General features: G+C 48.1%; 3 protein-coding genes and 1 pseudogene across 16 annotated transcripts in view, besides 6 other annotated features; 2 read left to right on the top strand and 2 right to left on the bottom strand.

Moving 5' to 3' along the window:
• SNX29 (sorting nexin 29) overlaps positions 1 to 1,658 on the bottom strand; it is a 597,554-nt gene extending 595,896 nt beyond the window's left edge. For all 7 annotated transcript variants that reach the window (NM_032167.5, XM_017023874.2, XM_047434881.1 and 4 more), the window contains exon 1: positions 1,579 to 1,658. In NM_032167.5, the coding sequence (NP_115543.3) occupies positions 1,579 to 1,585 (7 nt within the window). In that variant the 5' untranslated portion in view covers positions 1,586 to 1,658. The remainder of the gene's footprint in view (positions 1 to 1,578) is intronic.
• Positions 1,389 to 1,848: a silencer, noted in NCBI's record as "silent region_7216". NCBI's record gives its function as "represses an Ori minimal core promoter by ATAC-STARR-seq in GM12878 lymphoblastoid cells {active_cell/tissue: GM12878}" and the evidence as "EXISTENCE:reporter gene assay evidence [ECO:0000049][PMID:35858748]".
• The window catches only part of NPIPB2 (nuclear pore complex interacting protein family member B2), a 49,381-nt gene continuing 34,246 nt past the window's right edge, over positions 1,749 to 16,883 (top strand). For 5 of the 8 annotated variants that reach the window (XM_047434580.1, XM_047434579.1, XM_047434581.1 and 2 more), the window contains exon 1: positions 1,749 to 1,824. The gene's annotated coding sequence lies outside the window, so the exon portion shown is untranslated. Of the gene's footprint in view, positions 1,825 to 13,953; positions 14,048 to 14,365; positions 14,502 to 16,883 lie in introns of those variants that run through there. The other 3 variants (NM_001395852.1, NM_001395854.1, NM_001355514.1) reach the window with 2 other exon arrangements.
• Positions 2,343 to 2,994: an enhancer, noted in NCBI's record as "H3K27ac-H3K4me1 hESC enhancer chr16:12069255-12069906 (GRCh37/hg19 assembly coordinates)". NCBI's record gives its function as "activates a minimal SCP1, AML or CMV promoter by ChIP-STARR-seq in naive H9 embryonic stem cells {active_cell/tissue: H9 hESC(naive)}" and the evidence as "EXISTENCE:reporter gene assay evidence [ECO:0000049][PMID:30033119]".
• Positions 5,136 to 5,636: an enhancer, noted in NCBI's record as "H3K4me1 hESC enhancer chr16:12066613-12067113 (GRCh37/hg19 assembly coordinates)". NCBI's record gives its function as "activates a minimal SCP1, AML or CMV promoter by ChIP-STARR-seq in naive H9 embryonic stem cells {active_cell/tissue: H9 hESC(naive)}" and the evidence as "EXISTENCE:reporter gene assay evidence [ECO:0000049][PMID:30033119]".
• On the top strand, positions 9,649 to 9,884 carry UBL5P4 (ubiquitin like 5 pseudogene 4; annotated as a pseudogene).
• TNFRSF17 (TNF receptor superfamily member 17) lies at positions 10,324 to 13,182 on the bottom strand. The gene is made up of 3 exons (NM_001192.3): positions 12,938 to 13,182; positions 12,051 to 12,197; positions 10,324 to 10,822 (listed from the first exon to the last, which is right to left on the bottom strand). Exons 1-3 carry the CDS (start codon positions 13,065 to 13,067, stop codon positions 10,545 to 10,547), a joined length of 555 nt encoding a protein of 184 aa, NP_001183.2. The 5' UTR covers positions 13,068 to 13,182; the 3' UTR covers positions 10,324 to 10,544.
• Positions 12,955 to 13,394: an enhancer, noted in NCBI's record as "active region_10462". NCBI's record gives its function as "activates an Ori minimal core promoter by ATAC-STARR-seq in GM12878 lymphoblastoid cells {active_cell/tissue: GM12878}" and the evidence as "EXISTENCE:reporter gene assay evidence [ECO:0000049][PMID:35858748]".
• Positions 13,515 to 13,634: an enhancer, noted in NCBI's record as "active region_10461". NCBI's record gives its function as "activates an Ori minimal core promoter by ATAC-STARR-seq in GM12878 lymphoblastoid cells {active_cell/tissue: GM12878}" and the evidence as "EXISTENCE:reporter gene assay evidence [ECO:0000049][PMID:35858748]".
• Positions 15,146 to 15,315: a silencer, noted in NCBI's record as "silent region_7215". NCBI's record gives its function as "represses an Ori minimal core promoter by ATAC-STARR-seq in GM12878 lymphoblastoid cells {active_cell/tissue: GM12878}" and the evidence as "EXISTENCE:reporter gene assay evidence [ECO:0000049][PMID:35858748]".

Genomic DNA, 16,883 nt, shown 5'->3' with positions numbered 1-16,883 from the left:
ACTCTTAAATAACACAGGTTTATGTGGCAGGGCCAAGATTTGAACCCAGGATGTCTGGCCTCAGGGCCTGCACTTACACCAACCTACCTCAGCTCCTGGGGGAAGCCAGCTCATAACATCTTTACTGAGGTATTACTAACATTCACGAATCAGAAACCATACTTAGGCTTAAAATCATTTGATTTGCAACCAAAGGTGGATTATCTCCCAGGAAACTCCCCCTCACCAGCCCCCTCATTATTAGGACTGTCCATTTCACAAATCTTGCCCTTGAATAACAAAAACAAAAGGCACATCACTTGTTTAAACAACCAACCAACAAAAAAGGTCCACAGAGATAACTTTAAAAGTTAAAATTGAAGACAGCAGTATCCCTTGGCCTTGCCCCCCGCTCAACCTCCAGAAATGCCTGAGTGGAAGACAACGGCCAGGACGGCTGGATGCAGGGATCCTCAGAAACAATTCCACAGTGAGGGGAAAACAGGCACTAGGAGGATAGGCGGGGCTTCCTAAATAAATCCAGATCCCAGAGTGGCTGGACAGTCAGGGGAGAGCTGAGAGGCTTCCCTGAGTCACTCCCATCTCCACATACAACACCCAGGAATGACTTAGCACCAAAACACCAATAAGACTCCTCAGAGGAAAGGAGGGTAGAGTCAAGGGACTAAACTTCAGAAAACATTGAGGACGAGCTGCCCACACCCACCTCCCTCTCACTTCCAGCATCCCCATCAACACCACCCCCTCGATGGTGAGAGGAAGAAGTTTGGACTGGGAAGAAGAAGGACGAAGTGACGGTCCCCAGATGGGCTGGGCACGGGACAAGAAGGGAAGGGCTGCAGGACAAGGCAAGAGAGATCTTAAATGATAATGATGAGCCAGGATAAGACATGGACAAGGATGGAATATGCAAGGATCATCGAAATGTAAAAGCCAGGACCGGAGAGGGAAGCCGAGTGGGTAACTGGGAAGAACTGGTGATGGGAAGAGCAAAGCACTGGGAACAGGGGTGGGAGGGATGAGAGGGATGGGGAAGACAAACGGGTTGCAGAATTGAGCTCCTCTGGGGACCAGAAGCTCCTGGGACACGGGGGTACTGGGGTCAGCAAACTAACTGTCCAGAAAGACTATGCCTGTGTGGAAACTGCAGGGACTGGAGACCAGGGGCCTGGGTAGCGGGGATGACTGGGGATGGGGGACCTGGAACTGGAGCTGGGACGCAGCGGGTCTAGGAGTTAGGAGAGACTGAGACCTGGGAGGTCTCAGAACTGGGGGTCTGGACACTAGGCAAGGGGATCGCAGGACTGGAACAACTGGGGACAGGGGTTTAGGAGCTGGTTTTTATGGATGGACAGGAGTCAGGAGACCAGGAGTGCCCCGCCACGGGAGATCAGAGACCCGCAGGTGAGCAGGGGCCACGAGCCGGGAGTCCTGGGGGCCAGGGGTCTGGAAAAGGGAGCGACTGGGAGGGGGTCTGCGAGGGAGCGGGGCGCGAGGACGCAGGGGCCGGAGTGTGCAGCTGGAGCGGCGGGAGCCGGGGCGGCCGGGGCAGGTGACAGCGGCGGGGCCGCCACTCACCGCTCATGGTGCCTCTCCCCGGGCCGGTGCCTGCGCCGCGCCGCCGCCGCTGCCGCTTCTGCGGCTGCCGAGCTCCAGACAGGCCGGGAGACAGGAGCCCCGCCCCGGCCGCCCCGCCCCGGAAGTAGAGCCTGGCCGCCGACGAGGCCCCGCCCGCCGACCCGGAACGTAAACCGCGGCGCAGATCCAAGTCGCCGGACCCGGTGTGGAGAGCGGTGCTGAGGCTACGCGGGCTGGAGACTCAGGGTAAACCCGAGACCCCGCGAGGAGGCGTCGCTGTCCCCAAGTGCCCAAGACGCCTCCCCTGCCTTCCTGAGGTTCCCACGAGTGATGGGGCGACTTCGTCCCAGAGAGGGATGCGAGCGGGAAAGGAAATAAAAATAGAGGAACGGGACAAAGCGTGGGCACAGGCGGATGGGCAATCCCGGAGGGCCTCTCTAAGGAGGCGACTTCTGAGCCCAGACCTGGATGATGAGAGGAACCCAGTCCGGGAAGATCCCCAGGGAAAGTGTTCCATAAGGAGGGGCAATTGCAAGGCCCCTGCCTGGAGGGGTTGACAGGAGCGAGGGGATGAGTGAGAAAATAGGCCTGGTGCGGTGGCTCACGCCTGTAATCCCAACACTTTGGGAGGCCGAGGCGAGCGGATCACCTGAGGTCAGGAGTTCGAGAGGGTGAGTGAGAAAAGGAGATTGAGGAGGTGGAGGGAGGGCCTTGCAGGCCAGAGGAAGGAGTTTGGGCTTTTCTGCCTAATTCTAGGAAGGTCCCAGCACTTGGGAGGGCGGAGGCAGGCGGATCGCTTGAGGCCAGCAGTTCAAGAGCAGCCTGGGCAACGTAGCGAGACGCCGTTCTCTACCAAAGAAAAAAAGGACTCAAGCAGAGGAGTGATACGATCTGAATTAGGTTTTAAGATATGGCTCCTAGGCCGGACGCGGTGACTCATGCCTGTAATCCCAAGGCATGATTGGGAGGCCAAGGTGGGTGAATCACCTGAGGTCAGAAGTTCGATTCCAGCCTGGCCAACATAGTGAAACCCCATCTCTACTAAAAATACAAAAATTAGCCAGGCATGGTGGCGTGCGCCTGTAGTCCCAGCTACTGGGGAGGCTGAAACAGGAGAATTGCTTGAACCCGGGAGGCAGAGGTTTCAGTGAGCCGAGATCCCACCACTGCACTCCAGCCTGGGTGACAGAGTGAGACTCCCTCTCAACAACAACAACAACAAAAATGGCTCTTCCTGGGATGAGAATGAATTATAATGGGGGCAGGGTGGAGAAAGAGCAGGTGGTTAAGGAGTTATTGCAGTTGTCCAGGCAAGACATGGTGCCTGTCTACAGTGGTGGCAGTGGAGATAGAAAAGGTGATGGATTGGCCGGGCGCGGTGGCTCACGCCTGTAATCCCAGCACTTTGGGAGGCCGAGGCGGGCGGATCACGAGGTCAGGAGATCGAGACCATCCCGGCTAAAACGGTGAAACCCCGTCTCTACTAAAAATACAAAAAATTAGCCGGGCGTAGTGGCGGGCGCCTGTAGTCCCAGCTACTTGGGAGGCTGAGGCAGGAGAATGGCGTGAACCCGGGAGGCGGAGCTTGCAGTGAGCCGAGATCCCGCCACTGCACTCCAGCCTGGGCGACAGAGCGAGACTCCGTCTCAAAAAAAAAAAAAAAAAAAAAAAAGGTGATGGATTGAGTGTGAACACAAGTGTGACACATTCACAACGTTCTTTTGTTTTGTTTTGTTTTTGAGACGGCATCTCGCTCTGTCGCCCAGGCTGGAGTGCAGTGGCGCGATCTTGGCTCACTGCAACCTCCACCTCCCGGGTTCAAGTGATTCTCCTGCCTCAGCCTGCCAAGTAGCTGGGACTACAGGCTCCTGCCACCATACCCGGCTAATTTTTTGTATTTTTTTAGTAGAGACGGGGTTTCAACGTGTTAGCCAGGATGGTCTCCATCTCCTGACCTCGTGATTCACCCACCTCGGCCTCCCAAAATGCTGGGATTACAGGCGTGAGCCACCGCGCCCTGCACATTGTTATGAAGTCCAGGGTTTCGTCCCATTTTACACATCGGGGAAAAGGGACTGAAGGAGTATTTTCCCAACTTGTTTTGCCCACACCCCGAGTGAAGAAATGTATTTTATATCATAACCTTGTACACATAAGCATACACTTAAGGAGATGTTTTAAAAAACAATTCTGTAGGTAGTACATTCTCCTCTACTTTCTTTTTTTCCTCTAATGCTGAAGGAGACTTACTCAATTGATCCATAATACGTCTTTGTTATTTTTGTTTTTTTTATTTTGAGATGGAGTCTCACTCTGTCGCCCAGGCAGGAGTGCAATGGCGCGATCTCGGCTCACTACAACCTCCGCTTCCCGGGTTCTAGTGATTCTCCTGCCTCAGCCTCCCGAGTAGGTAGGATTACAGGTGTGCCACCATGCCTGCTAACTTTTGTATTTTGTGTGTTTAGTAGAGATCGGCTTTCACCATGTTGGTCAGCCTTGAACTCCTGACCTCAGGTGATCCACCCTCCTCGGCCTCCCAAAGTGCTGGGATTACAGGCATGAGCCACCAACCCCAGTCTGCAGCATTCTCTGTAATAATGAAAAAGTGGCGTTGGGGCTTAGAAACCAGTACCCGAAAATATGGCATTTTGACCTGCTGGACTGAAGAAGCATCATAGTCTCTCTGGCCTCGCCCATAACACAGCAAATCTCTCAAAGCCAGGATGAAGTTCCTTCATCTGCCTAAACTTGGGACCCACCAAAAATAACAATTTTTCCCCTCCCTGTAAAACTGAGAAGGTAACCACACCTGAACAAATGCTTTCACAAGATAAAGACCCTCTCAGAATCATTCAAATTCCAAAGAGAACTGTTTACAGCATAATCTCCATTCCAGGATCCATTCCATCTCCAGTGATCCTTTATTGCTCCTCAACAGAATTCCTCTTCTCCCCAGTCCCATAACCTGTTTTGCTGGGGTTCCAAGCCCTCATTCTTTTTGTAGCCTTGTGATAATTTGGCTGGGTGCGGTGGCTCACACCTGTAATCCCAGCACTTTGGGAGGCAAGCAGATCACCTGAGGTCAGGAGTTCCAGACCAGCTAGGAACTCCTAGCTAACTTGGGAGGCTGAGGCAGGAGAATCGCTTGAACCCGGGAGGTAGAAGTTGCAGTGAGCCGAGATGGCACCACTGCACTCCAACCTGGGCAACAAGAACAAAACTCTGTCTCAAAAAATAAAATAAATAATTTATAAGCTGCTGAACTCTGTTGAGGGATAGGTATTCACTCTGTGGTTCTCCCCCAGGGTACAAGTCAGTAAAACTTGTCTACCTTTTCTCCAGTTTATCTGCCTTTTCTGAGCTGATTTTTCAGCAACTTTCAAAGGACTAAGAGGAAGTTTTCCCCTTGGCCCCCACAGTGGAAAGAACCAAATCCCAGCTATGGAAATCATGGCTATAAACCAAAAATAAAATTCTCAGTCCCCCAGTCATCTGAATGAAGCCCGCCTCTTGGCCAAGGGCACTCCAAAGGCAACCTGAAAAACTAGTTCAGGCCATGATGGGAAATGGGAGCCAGACATGCCTCACGATAGACTCCTCCCTTTTAGAATTACTGATAGAATAGAGTCTTTTTTTTTTTTTTTTTTTTTTGACAGTTTCACTCTTGTTGCCCAGGCTGGAGTGCAATGGCACAATCTCGGCTCACCGCAACTTCTGCCTCTGCCTCTCAGGTTCAAGCGAGTCTCCTGCCTCAGCCTCCTGAGTAGCTGGGATTACAGGCATGTGCCACCGCGCCCGGCTAATTTTATACTTTTAGTAGAGTTAGGATTTCTCCGTGTTGACCAGGCTGATCTCAAACTCCTGACCTCAGGTGATCCGCCCGCCTCGGCCTCCCAAAGTGCTGGGATTACAGGCATCAGCCTCCACGCCCAGCTATTTTTTTTTTTTTTTGAGTCCGAATCTCGCTCTGTTGCCAGCCTGGAATGCACTGGCGTGATCTCGGCTCACTGCAACCTCCATCTCCTGAGTTCAAGCAATTCTCCTGCCTCAGCCTCCCAAGTAGCTGGGATTACAGGCGCCCACCACCACGTCCAGCTAATTCTAGTAGAGACGGGGTTTCACCATGTTGGCCAGGATGGACTCAATCTCTTGACTTCATGATCTGCCTGCCTCAGCCTCCCAAAGTGCTGGGATTACAGGCGTGAGCCACCACACCTAGCTTTTTTTTCTTTTTTTTTGAAGATGCGGTCTCACTGTGTTACTCATGCTGGAGTGCAGTGGTGTGATCTCAGCTCACTGCAACCTCCGCCTCCCAGGTTCAGGTGATTCTTGTGCCTCACACTCCAAAGTAGCTGGGATTACAGGCACATGCTACCAAGCCCCGGCTAATTATTGTATTTTCTGTAGAGACGGGGTTTCCCCATGTTGTTCAGGCTGGTTTCAAACTCCTGACCTTACGATCTGCCCACCTCGGCCTCCCATAGTGCTGGAATTACGGGCGTGAGCCGCGGCATCCAGCCCAGAACAGACTCCTTAGTAGGAAACATTTACAATCTATTTTCTGAAGCCTGCCACCTGGAGGCTTCATTGGCATGACAGAACTACGGTCTCCACAATCCCTTATCTTAACACAGAAATTTTTTTGTTGGTTTGTTTTTGTTTTTTTGAGACAGAGTCTCGCATTGTCGCCTGGGCTGTGGAGTGCAATAGCGTGATCTCAGCTCACTGCAACCTCTGTCTCCCAGGTTCAAGTGATCCTCCTGCCTCAGCCTCCCGAGTAGCTGGGATTACAGGTGCCTGCCACCACACCCGGCTAATTTTTTGTATTTTTGGTAGAGATGGGGTTTCACTATGTTGGCGATGCTGGTCTCAAACTCCTGACCTCGTGATCCACCCACCTCAGCCTCCCAAAGTGCTGGGATTACAGGCAAGAGCCACTACGCCTGGCTGATTCTAAATCTTTAGACCATAACTTAACTCTTTCAACCAATTGCCAATCAGAAAATCTTTGAATCTAGGCCAGGAGCACGGTAGCTCGCACCTGTAATCCCAGCACTTTGCGAGGCTGAGGAGAGCAGATCACTTGAGGTGAGGAGTTCAAGACCAGCCTGGCCAACATGGCAAAACCCCATCTCTACTAAAAATACAAAAATTAGCTGAGCTTGGTGCCGCACAGTTGTAATCCCAGCTACTTGAGAGGCTGAGGCTGGAGGATTGCTTGAACCTGGGAAGCAGAGGTTGCAGTGAGCCAAGGTTGCGCCACTGCACTCCAGCCTGGGTAACAGAGCAAGACTCTGTCTAAAAAAATAAAAAAGAAAGAAAATCTCTGAATCTACCTATGACTTGGAACCACCCACCCCCCCACCACCCCACTCCCCCATACCTGCTTCTAGTTGGCCTGCCTTTCTGGACCGAACCAGTGTACATTTTATATGTATTGACTGATGCTTTTTGTCTCCCTAAAATGTATAAAACAAAGTTGTAGCCCAACCACCTAGGGTATGTGTTCTCAGAATCTCCTGAGGGCTGTGTCATGGCCATTGGTCACTCATATTTGGTTCAGAATAAATCTCTTCACATGTTTTAGAGTTTGACCCTTTTCTTTAACATGACTGACCTAGCACACAACAATGTAGCAGATGAAAATGCTGATTTTAGGCCAGGCGTGGTGGCTTATGCCTGTAATCCCAGCACTTTGGGAGGCCAAGGTCGGAGGATCGCTTGAGCCCAGGAGTTCAAGACCAGCCTTGGCAACATGGCGAAACTCCATCTCTACTAAAAGAATAAAAAAAATTAGCCGAGAATGGTGGTACATGCCTGTAGTCCCAGCTACACAGGAGCCTGAGGTGGGAGGGTCACCTGAGCCCCAGAGGTCGAGGCTGCAGTGAGCCAAGATTATGCCACTGCACTCAGCCTGGGCATTGGAGTAAGACCCTATCTCAAAAAAAAAAAAGAAACGAGTAAGAAAATGCTGATTTTAGGCCAGGCGCGGTGGCTCATGCCTGTAATGCCAGCACTTTGGGAGGCCAAGGCAGGTAGATCACGAGGTCAGGAGTTCAAGACCACCGTGTCCAACAAGGTGAAACCCCGTCTATATTAAAAATACAAAAATTAGCCAGGCGTGGTGGCAGGTGCCTGTAATCCCAGTTACACGGGAGGCTGAGGCAGGAGAATCGCTTGAAACCAGAAGTTGGAGGTTGCAGTGAGCCAAGATCGTACCACTGCACTCTAACCTGGGCAACAAGAGTGAAACTGTGTCTCAAAAGAAAGAAAAAAAAAATGCTGATTTTAAACACTGGAAGGCCAGGTGCAGTGGCCCACACCTATAATTCTAGCACTTTGGCAGGCCAAAGTGGGTGGATCACCTGAGGTCAGGAGTCCGAGACCAGCCTGACCAATATGGTGAAACCCCATCTGTAGTAAAAATACCAAAACTAGCTGAGCATGGTGGCATGCGACTGTAGTCCCAGCTACTCAGGAGGCTGAGACAGGGGAATTGTTTGAACCCAGGAAGCAGAGGTTGTAGTGAGCTCAGATAGCACAACTGCATTCCAGCCTGGGCGACAGAGTGAGACTTCATCTCAAAAATAAATAAATAAATGAATAAAAATAAAGACTGGAAATGTGGGACAAGACAGGTTTTCACCATGTTGGTCAGGCTGGTCTCTAACTCCTGACCTCAGGTGATCTGCCTGTCTCGGCCTCCCAAAGTGCTGGGATTACAGGCATGAGCCACCACACCCGGCCATACCCAGGAGTTTTTGTGTGCTTAAAATGAGTTAGTATAGGCCGGGTGTGGTGGCGGGCACCTGTAATCCCAGCTACTTGGGAGGCTGAGGTAGGAGACTCTTGAACCTACCTCTTGAGGTAGAGGTTGCAGTGAGCCAAGATGATGCCAGTGCAGTCCAGCCTGGGCAACAGAGCAAGACCCCGTCTCAAAAAAATAAAATGAGCTAGTACAGGTGAAGCACTTAGAACAGTCCCTGGCACGTTAGTAAGACTATATAAGGGTTAGATATGATTATTATAGCACCACTCACATTTTGGGCTGAAAACAGTATGTCGTGCACCGTTATCACAGTTTGCGATTACACATTTACTTGTGTAATTATAGTAATGCCTGATGCTTTCATTAAGCTGGAAGCTCACAAGGCCAAGAACCACCTGTGCACTGCACACTGAATTCGTCTGGTTGATTCTAGGCTTCTCCTGTTTGCAGAAGTACATAAGTTAGCTTTCCTTTAACAATAAAGAGAAAAGGCCAGGCACAGTGGCTCACGCCTGTAATCCCAGCACATTGGGAGGCCAAGACAGGTGGATCACGAGGTCAGGAGTTCAAGACCAGTCTGGCGAAGATGGTGAAACCCTGTCTCTACTAAAAATACAAAAATTAGCCAGGCGCAGTGGCGGGCACCTGTAATCCCAGCTACTCGGGTGGCTGAGGCAGAGAATTGCTTGAACCCGGGAGGCAGAGGTTGCAGTGAGCTGAGATCGCACCACTGCACTCCCGTGTCAACGACAGAGCGAGACTGTCTCAAAAAATAAATAAATAAAATTCAAAAATCAAGAGAAACATCCGATCCTTCCTGAAATCTGTATGTATGTATATCGGAGAGAAGCGCCCTAACCATAGAAGCGTATGACTGGGGCCGGGCGCGATAGCTCACACCGGTAATCCCAACACTTTGGGAGGCCAAGGCAGGTGAATCACCTGAGGTCAGGAGTTCAAGACCAGCCTGACCAACACAGTGAAACCCCATCTCTACTAAAAATACAAAAATCAGCAGGGCATGGTGCCACGTGCCTGTAATCCCAGCTACTCGGGAGGCTGAGGCAAGAGAATCGCTTGAACCTGAGAGGTGGAGGTTGTAGTGAGCTGTGATCATGCCACTGCACTCCAGCCTGGGCAACAGAGCAGGACTCCGTTTCAAAAAAAAAAAAAAGAAAAGAAAAAGAAATTGGTTACTGAGATCTACAGAATGCTGTTTTTTTCAGTAAGTCAAGCGTTTAGAGGTCTCTAGTGAGAAGATTGTCATGTCAGCATGTTCAAGGTGATGAGCATCAGCTAGGATGATTGAGGTTGTTTGCAACAACCTCAGTGGAGAGTGGATAGTGTGGAGAAGGTCTGTGTTAAATGCTACACAGATAACACCATTGTGGACCTTAAGAAGCTGATTACAGCCCAGACTAGGGCTGTAACAAGAACAACCCTTTCAGGAACAAGACTCCTGAATAAGTGGTATACAATTTTTAAGGACCACATATCTTTGGGGCACTATAAAATCCAGCAGAAGATGAAGCTGGAGGTCTTTTTGTTTGTTTGTGTTGTTTTGTTTTGAGACGGAGTCTCACCCTCTTGCCCAGGCTGGAGTGCAGGGATGCTATCTCAGCTCATTGCAACCTCCACCTCCCAGGTTCAAGCGATTCTCCTGCCTCAGCCTCCTGAGTAGCTGGGATTACAGGTGCCTACCACCATGCCCAGCTAATTTTTGTATTTTTAGTAAAGACAGGGTTTCACCATGTTGGCCAGGCTGGTCTCAAATTCCTGACCTCAGGTAATCTGCCCGCCTCGGCCTTTCAAAGTGCTGGGATTACAGGCATGAGCCACCGCGCCTGGCCAAAACTGGAGCTTTATTATCAATAGGTTAGAATTCTTTCCCCCTCCCACCTTTCTCTCCCACCCTCACCCCCCACACTGGTATACATGCTTGTTTTTAAAAACTCACGTTAATAAAAACTTAGATGTCAGGAAAAAAAAGAGTTTAATCATGAAACCAAGGAAGTTTCTACCATTAAGCTCCCAACAGTAACCTAGAGAAATATATCTAACATAAAGAGTTTCCACAGTTAGAGGACAAAAAGCTGTATCGGCAACTGAAAAATACAGTCATCCTAAAGAGATCTGACACATCATCTATTCTGACAAAAGATTTTTAAAGTGGCACTGCTCGAGTCGAAATGGTTAATTACCTAGCAGAAATTGATTTCTCTATCTCCGTAGCACTCAAAGCAGCTGGCAGGCTCTTGCAATAGTCATTCGTTTTCGTGGTGACAAGAATGGTTGCGCCTTCCTCCATAGCTGGGAGTGGAAAGCAATGGTCAGAGTCGACCTTCGGTTTGCTCTTGATGCAGTCTTCACAGGTGCATTCTTCCACCGTGTACTCGAGGCCTCTCGGAAGAATAATTTCATCACCAGTCCTGCTCTTTTCCAGGTCAATGTTAGCCATGCCCAGGAGACCTGATCCTAATTATGTAGAAACGGAAACATTAACCCAAACTTCACAGAGAATGTGGTCATGAGAGTCTTAGCAGTACACATCGGGACTCAAAGCAATGTGAGAGAGATTTTTTCATTTTTTAGAGGTGGGGTCTTACTGTGTTGCCCAGGCTGCATTCAAACTCCTGGGCTCAAGCAATCCTCCCACGTTAGCCTACAGAGCAGTCGGGACTACAGCTCCATGCCACCACACCCAGCTTGAAACAGATCTTTTCAGTAAAAAAGAATGAGTATGTGCTGGGCCCTGTGGCTCACGCCTGTAATCCCAGCACTTTGGGAAGCTGAGGCGGGCAGATCACTTGTGGTCAGGAGCTTGAGACCATCCTGGCCAACATGATGAAACCCTGTCTCTACCAAAAAGTACAAAAATTAGTCGGAGGTGATGGCACATACCTATAGTCCCAGTTACTCAGGAGGCTGAGATGGGAGAATTGTTTGAACCCAAGAGGCAGAGGCTGCAGTGAGTTGAGATCACGCCACTGCACTCCAGCCTGGGCCACAGAGCGAGACTCCATCTCTAAATAAATAAATAAATAAATAAATAAATAAATAAATAAATGCATACAGAAATAGGGCAGTGGCTGTACATGCTTGGGAATCCAATCATGAGCAAAGGTGCTGCAGAAGTATTTTTATCTTAAGAGGCACTTAAGTAGAACATTCATTTTTCTGGGACTGGTTCTCTATTGCTTAAAAATAATTATTTTTTAGATGATTCCTCAAATAATTCAGGAGCAACTGGTTATTCATTTCTAACATTTTTCAGTAGTAAAATGTTCACTCAAGCAAAGAACACCTATATTTGTATAAAAACATGACCATAGATCTTGACAAATATGCTTTTCCTGACAGTAGCAGACCTGGCTAGGAGTTTCTGATAATGTGGCATTTAATCGATGTGCTAACTTTAGTCAAAGAGACTGATGTTTCCCAAGAAAGCCTTAGTACTTTCAATAGAGTAATTAACAGTGGAAGAATCCTGGAGAAGACTGACATTGTAGAAAATCTGCCAAGGTGTCAAAATCAGAATGAAGATGGCTCACCTCTACCAAGTTCATTTAATGTAACAATGTTCTAACACATTCGAAAGGGCTGTAACGAAGTGAAATAGTCAACGCTAAAAAAAGAAAAGGAACTGAAACTCACAATAGCCATCCCCTGGAAATAGATTTCAAAGATTCACCATCAAACCAACCTGTGTTTTTAAACTCGTCCTTTAATGGTTCAGAGTTTATCTTCCTTAGCAAAAACATTAGCACGAAAACTGCCAAAGAAATTATTAAGCTCAGTCCCAAACAGGTCCAGAGAATCGCATTCGTTCCTTTCACTGAATTGGTCACACCTTTATGAAAAGAACATCAGACAGATAATGAGCTGATAACATAATATTCACATACTTTATTGTTATTATTTATTTATTTATTTTGAGACAAAGTCTTGCTCTGTTGCCCAGGCTAGAGTGCAGTGGCGCGATCTCGGCTCACTGCAACCTCCACCTCCCAAGTTCAAACAATTCTCCTGCCTCAGCCTCCCGAGTAGCTGGGATTACAGACCTGTGCCACCATGCCCAGCTAATTTTTTGTATTTTTAGTAGAGACAGGGTTTCACCAGGTTGGCCAGGCTGGCCTCAAACTGCCGACCTCAGGTGATTCACCCACCTCGGCCTCCCAAAGTGCTGGGATTACAGGTGTGAGCCATCCACCGCACCCGGCTGTCATACTTGATTATTTTGCTAAAATAATGAATTATGGATTGTTTTGATAGCAAAATAATCAAGTATGGATTATTTCCATTCAATCACCTTAATTAATGAACATTGACTTTTAAATTCTAAATATCACTTAATTAGAAGAGCTGATTTTTAAAAAAAATCTATGTTGCTAATAGTGCTGAATCATATCAAGTTCAGTTCCAAATAATTACTTTGTTTCCATAAACATTAAAATCACTGCCTTGCTTCCTTTCTCTTTTTGATTCAAGAAAACTCACCATCATGCCCATTATGTTGATTCTCTGAATAAGCAGTCCATATAGACAGAATAGTTCACACCAATGAATAATCGTTCAAGCAATATTACTTACTTGCATTACAATAACGCTGACATGTTAGAGGAGGAGTATTAGAAGAACATCGAAGTTGACAAGGTATGCAAGCATGCAACAAACTGTCAAAATATTCATTTTGGGAGCACTGCCCAGCCATCTGCAACATGATCACAAAAAGAAAACAAGGGAGCTACAGAAAGAACAGCCTGGAAGGACAAGTAATATCTCTACAAGAATTCCAGAGCAAATGCAGCAAGAGCAGCTAGAATGTTGAGAACAATGAACTTCGCCTGCTTCGTGGGTTCTTACGGGGGCTGTCTGTGTCTTCGCGGCAGCTAAGGATTTGAATACCACATCTAATTCAAGTTTCTAAGTTTGAGTCTTGGATGGGGTAAGAGACAGGGTGTAAATATCAGGGCATATCACATCTGAAACAGAAACTGCTTATTTATAGAAGAAATTTCTCAGCCAGGTGACAGTTGCAAGATGCAGACAAGCCCACAGCATCAAGCCGAATGTTCAGTAACAGTTTCTGGAACATCTGTTAATAAGCTGTACTCTGTGAGAGGTGCCAGGGAGATAGACAAGACAAGGTCTGTGCTGTGCCCCTTAAGATCTTAACATTGAGGCCAGCTGCAGGGGTTCACACCTGTAATCCCAGGACTTTGGGAGTCAAAAGGCAAAAGGATTGCTTGAGCCCAGGAGTTCAAAATCAGCCTGGGCAACATGGCGAAACCCTGACTTTACAAAAACATTTTAAAAAGTAGTCTGGTGTAAGCTGGGCGCCGTGGCGCTCTCCTGTAATCCCAGCACTTTGGGAGGCCGAGGCAGGTGGATCACTTGAGGTCAGGAGTTCCAGAACAGCCTGGCCAACATGGTGAAACCCCGTCTCTACTAAAAATACAAAAATTAGTCAGGCATGGTGGCAGGCACCTATGATCCCAGCTACTCAGGAGGCTGAGGCAGGGAGACGTGCTTGAACCCAGGAGGCGGAGTTTGCAGTAAGCCAAGATCAGGCCACTGCGCTCCAGCCTGGGTGACAAAGCAAGACTCTATCTCAAAAAAAAAAAAAATTCTACAGGAAGATCAGAGGTGATGCACTAAGGAAGACGCACAATGCCACTGACAGAAAAAGAGACATTTAGGGTAAGAGCTCGTGGAAAGAGGGCTGAGAGGAAGATAGGTTTGGGGTATTATAATAATAATACAATAATCTATGTTCCATTGTTGAAAATTTAGAAATACAGATGAGCAGATAAAACCATTTTAAAAATCCACAGTCCAAGCATCCAGAAGTCATCACCGCTAACACCTGGTGTATCCCAGAAGTTGCAAACAGACCTGCCGATGCGATGTCTTTTGTTTCACCGATCCCTGAATTCTAGATAGATACATTTATATAGTGCATTTTTCTGTTTACATAAATGGATCACTTGAATTTGCCTTTTTTTTTTTTTTTGACAGAGTCTCACTCTGTCTCCCAGGCTGAGTGCAGTGACACAATCACAGCTCACTGCAGCCTCCACCTCCTGGGTTCAGGTGATCTGCCCACCTCAGCCTTCCAAGTAGCTGGGACTACAGACATGCGCCAGCACGCCTGGTAAGTTTTGTATTTTTTGTAGAGATGGGTTTTTGCCGTGTTGCCCAGGTTGCTCTCAAACACTTGGGGTCAAGTGATCCACCCACCTCGGCCTCCCAAAGCGCTGGGATTACAGGTGTGAGCCACTAAGCCCAGCTTGAATTTGCTTTTAACCATACTGAGTGAAATACCCATATAGAGACGTCCAGATGTTTGTCAAAAATGCAGGACTCAATTAAAATTTGAGGAAATGGCAAACTCCTAATTCAGTATAGTGATTATCTCTGAGGTAAGTGGTGGGGAAGAAGGGGAGCACAAAAAAGGCTTCACCTGTGTTTATTATATTTTCTTTATTAAGCTGAGTGGTGGATACATTGATATTTGTTGTTTTCCTTTTGTTGTATTTTTCTTATTCTTTACACTTTCTTAAGGCCCAAGGAGTGTGCCAAGGAAACCTGCCATCCCTTCTACTTTATTTCATCCTCCAAGCACCCCAACCTTTAAAAACTTATTCTTTTTTTTTTTTTTTTTGAGCTGGAGTTTCACTGTTATTGCCCAGGCTGGAGTGCAATGGCGCGATCTCGGCTCACTGCAACCTCCACCTCCCAGGTTCAAGCGATTCTCTGGCCTCAGCCTCCTGAGTAGCTGGGATGACAGGTGCATGCCACCACGCCTGGCTAGTTTTTGTATTTTTGGTAGAGACGGGGTTTCACCGTGTTGGTCAGGCTGGTTTCGAACTCCTGACCTCAGGTGACCCACCGGCCTTGGCCTCTCAAACTGCTGGGATTACAGGCATGAGCCACCTAGCCTGGATGATTTTTTATTTATTTGTTTGTTTGTTTGTTTGTTTGTTTTGAGATGGAGTCTCCCTCTGTTGCCAGGCTGGGGTACAGTAGTGCGATCTGCAACCTCTGCCTCCCGGGTTCAAGTGATTCTCCTGCCTCAGCTTCCGGAATAGCTGGGATTACAGGCATGCGCCATCATGCCCAGCAAATATTTGTATTTTTAGTACAGACAGGATTTCACCATATTGGGCAGAATGGTCTCAGTCTCCTGACCTCGTGATCCACCTGCCTTGGCCTCCCAAAGTGCTGAGATTACAGGTGTGAGCCACCGCGCCCAGCCACTGATAATTCTTGTTTTTAAAATTCATATTATTAAAAAATAAGTATTCAAACAGTGCCAAAGATTTTTCAATGAAAAGTAAGTCTTTTTCCTACCCTGGATTTCCTCTCTCTTGCCAGAGGCAGTAATTACTGTCAGTCTTCCTCTTTTTTTTTGGTTTTTTTTTTTTTTTTTTGAGACAGAATCTTGCTCTGTCACCCAGGCTGGAGTGCAGGGGCGCTATCTCAGCTCACTGCAAGCTCCGACTCCCAGGTTCATGCCATTCTCCTGCCTCAGCCTCCAGAGTAGCTGGGACTACAGGCACCCACCACCATGTCTGGCTAATTTTGTTTTTGTATTTTTAGTAGAGATGGGGTTTCACCATCTTAGCCAGGATGGTCTCGATCTCCTGACCTCATGATCCGGGATTACAGGCATGCGCCACCATGCCCAGCTAATATTTGTATTTTTAGTAGAGACAGGGTTTCACCATGTTGGGCAGAATGGTCTCAATCCCCTCACCTCGTGATCGACCCGCCTCGGCCTCCCAAAGTGCTGGGATTACAGGTGCAAGCCACCGCACCCAGCCTTTTTTTTTTTTTTTTTTTTTAAGACAGGGTGTTGCTCTATTGCCCAGGCTGGAGTGCAGTGGCACCATCAGGGCTCACTGCAGCCTCCACCTTCTGGGCTTAAGCGATCCTCCCACCTCAGCCTCCTGAGTAGCTAGGACTACGCACATGCCACCATGCCCAGCTAATTTTTGTATTTTTTGTAGAGATGAGATTTCATCATGTTGCCCAGGCTGGTCTTGAACTCCTGGGCTCAAGTGATCTTCCTGCCTCAGCCTCCCAAAGTACTGAGATTACATGTGTAAGCCACAGTGCCCAGCCACTGTCAGTCTTCTGTCTTTCCAAATAGAGCCTCTGTTTATGTCTGTCTATTCAGACCCTACCTATTTTATTTGTATCCACCCAGGAGGCAGATAGAGCATATTATACAACTGCTCATACCTTTTTTTTTTTTTTTTTTAAACAGGGTCTCACTCTGTCACCCAGGCTGGAGTGTGGTGGCAAAATTTCAGCTCACTGCAACCTCCGTCTCCCAGGTTCAAGCCATTCTCTTGCCTCAGCCTCCCTAGTAGCTGGGATTACAGGTGCGTGCCTCCAGGCCTGGCTAATTTTTGTATTTTTAGTAGAGACGGGGTTTCAGTATGTTGGCCAGGCTGGTCTCGAACTCCTGACCTCAAGTGATTCGCCCGCCTCGGCCTCCCAAAGTGCTAGGATTATAGGCGTGAGCCAC

The sequence above is a fragment of the Homo sapiens genome, chromosome 16, assembly GCF_000001405.40.
Source record: "Homo sapiens chromosome 16, GRCh38.p14 Primary Assembly".
NCBI lineage: Eukaryota > Metazoa > Chordata > Mammalia > Primates > Hominidae > Homo > Homo sapiens.
The sequence above is the reverse complement of the archived record's forward strand: the minus strand, read 5'-3'. Positions and strand labels throughout refer to the sequence as shown.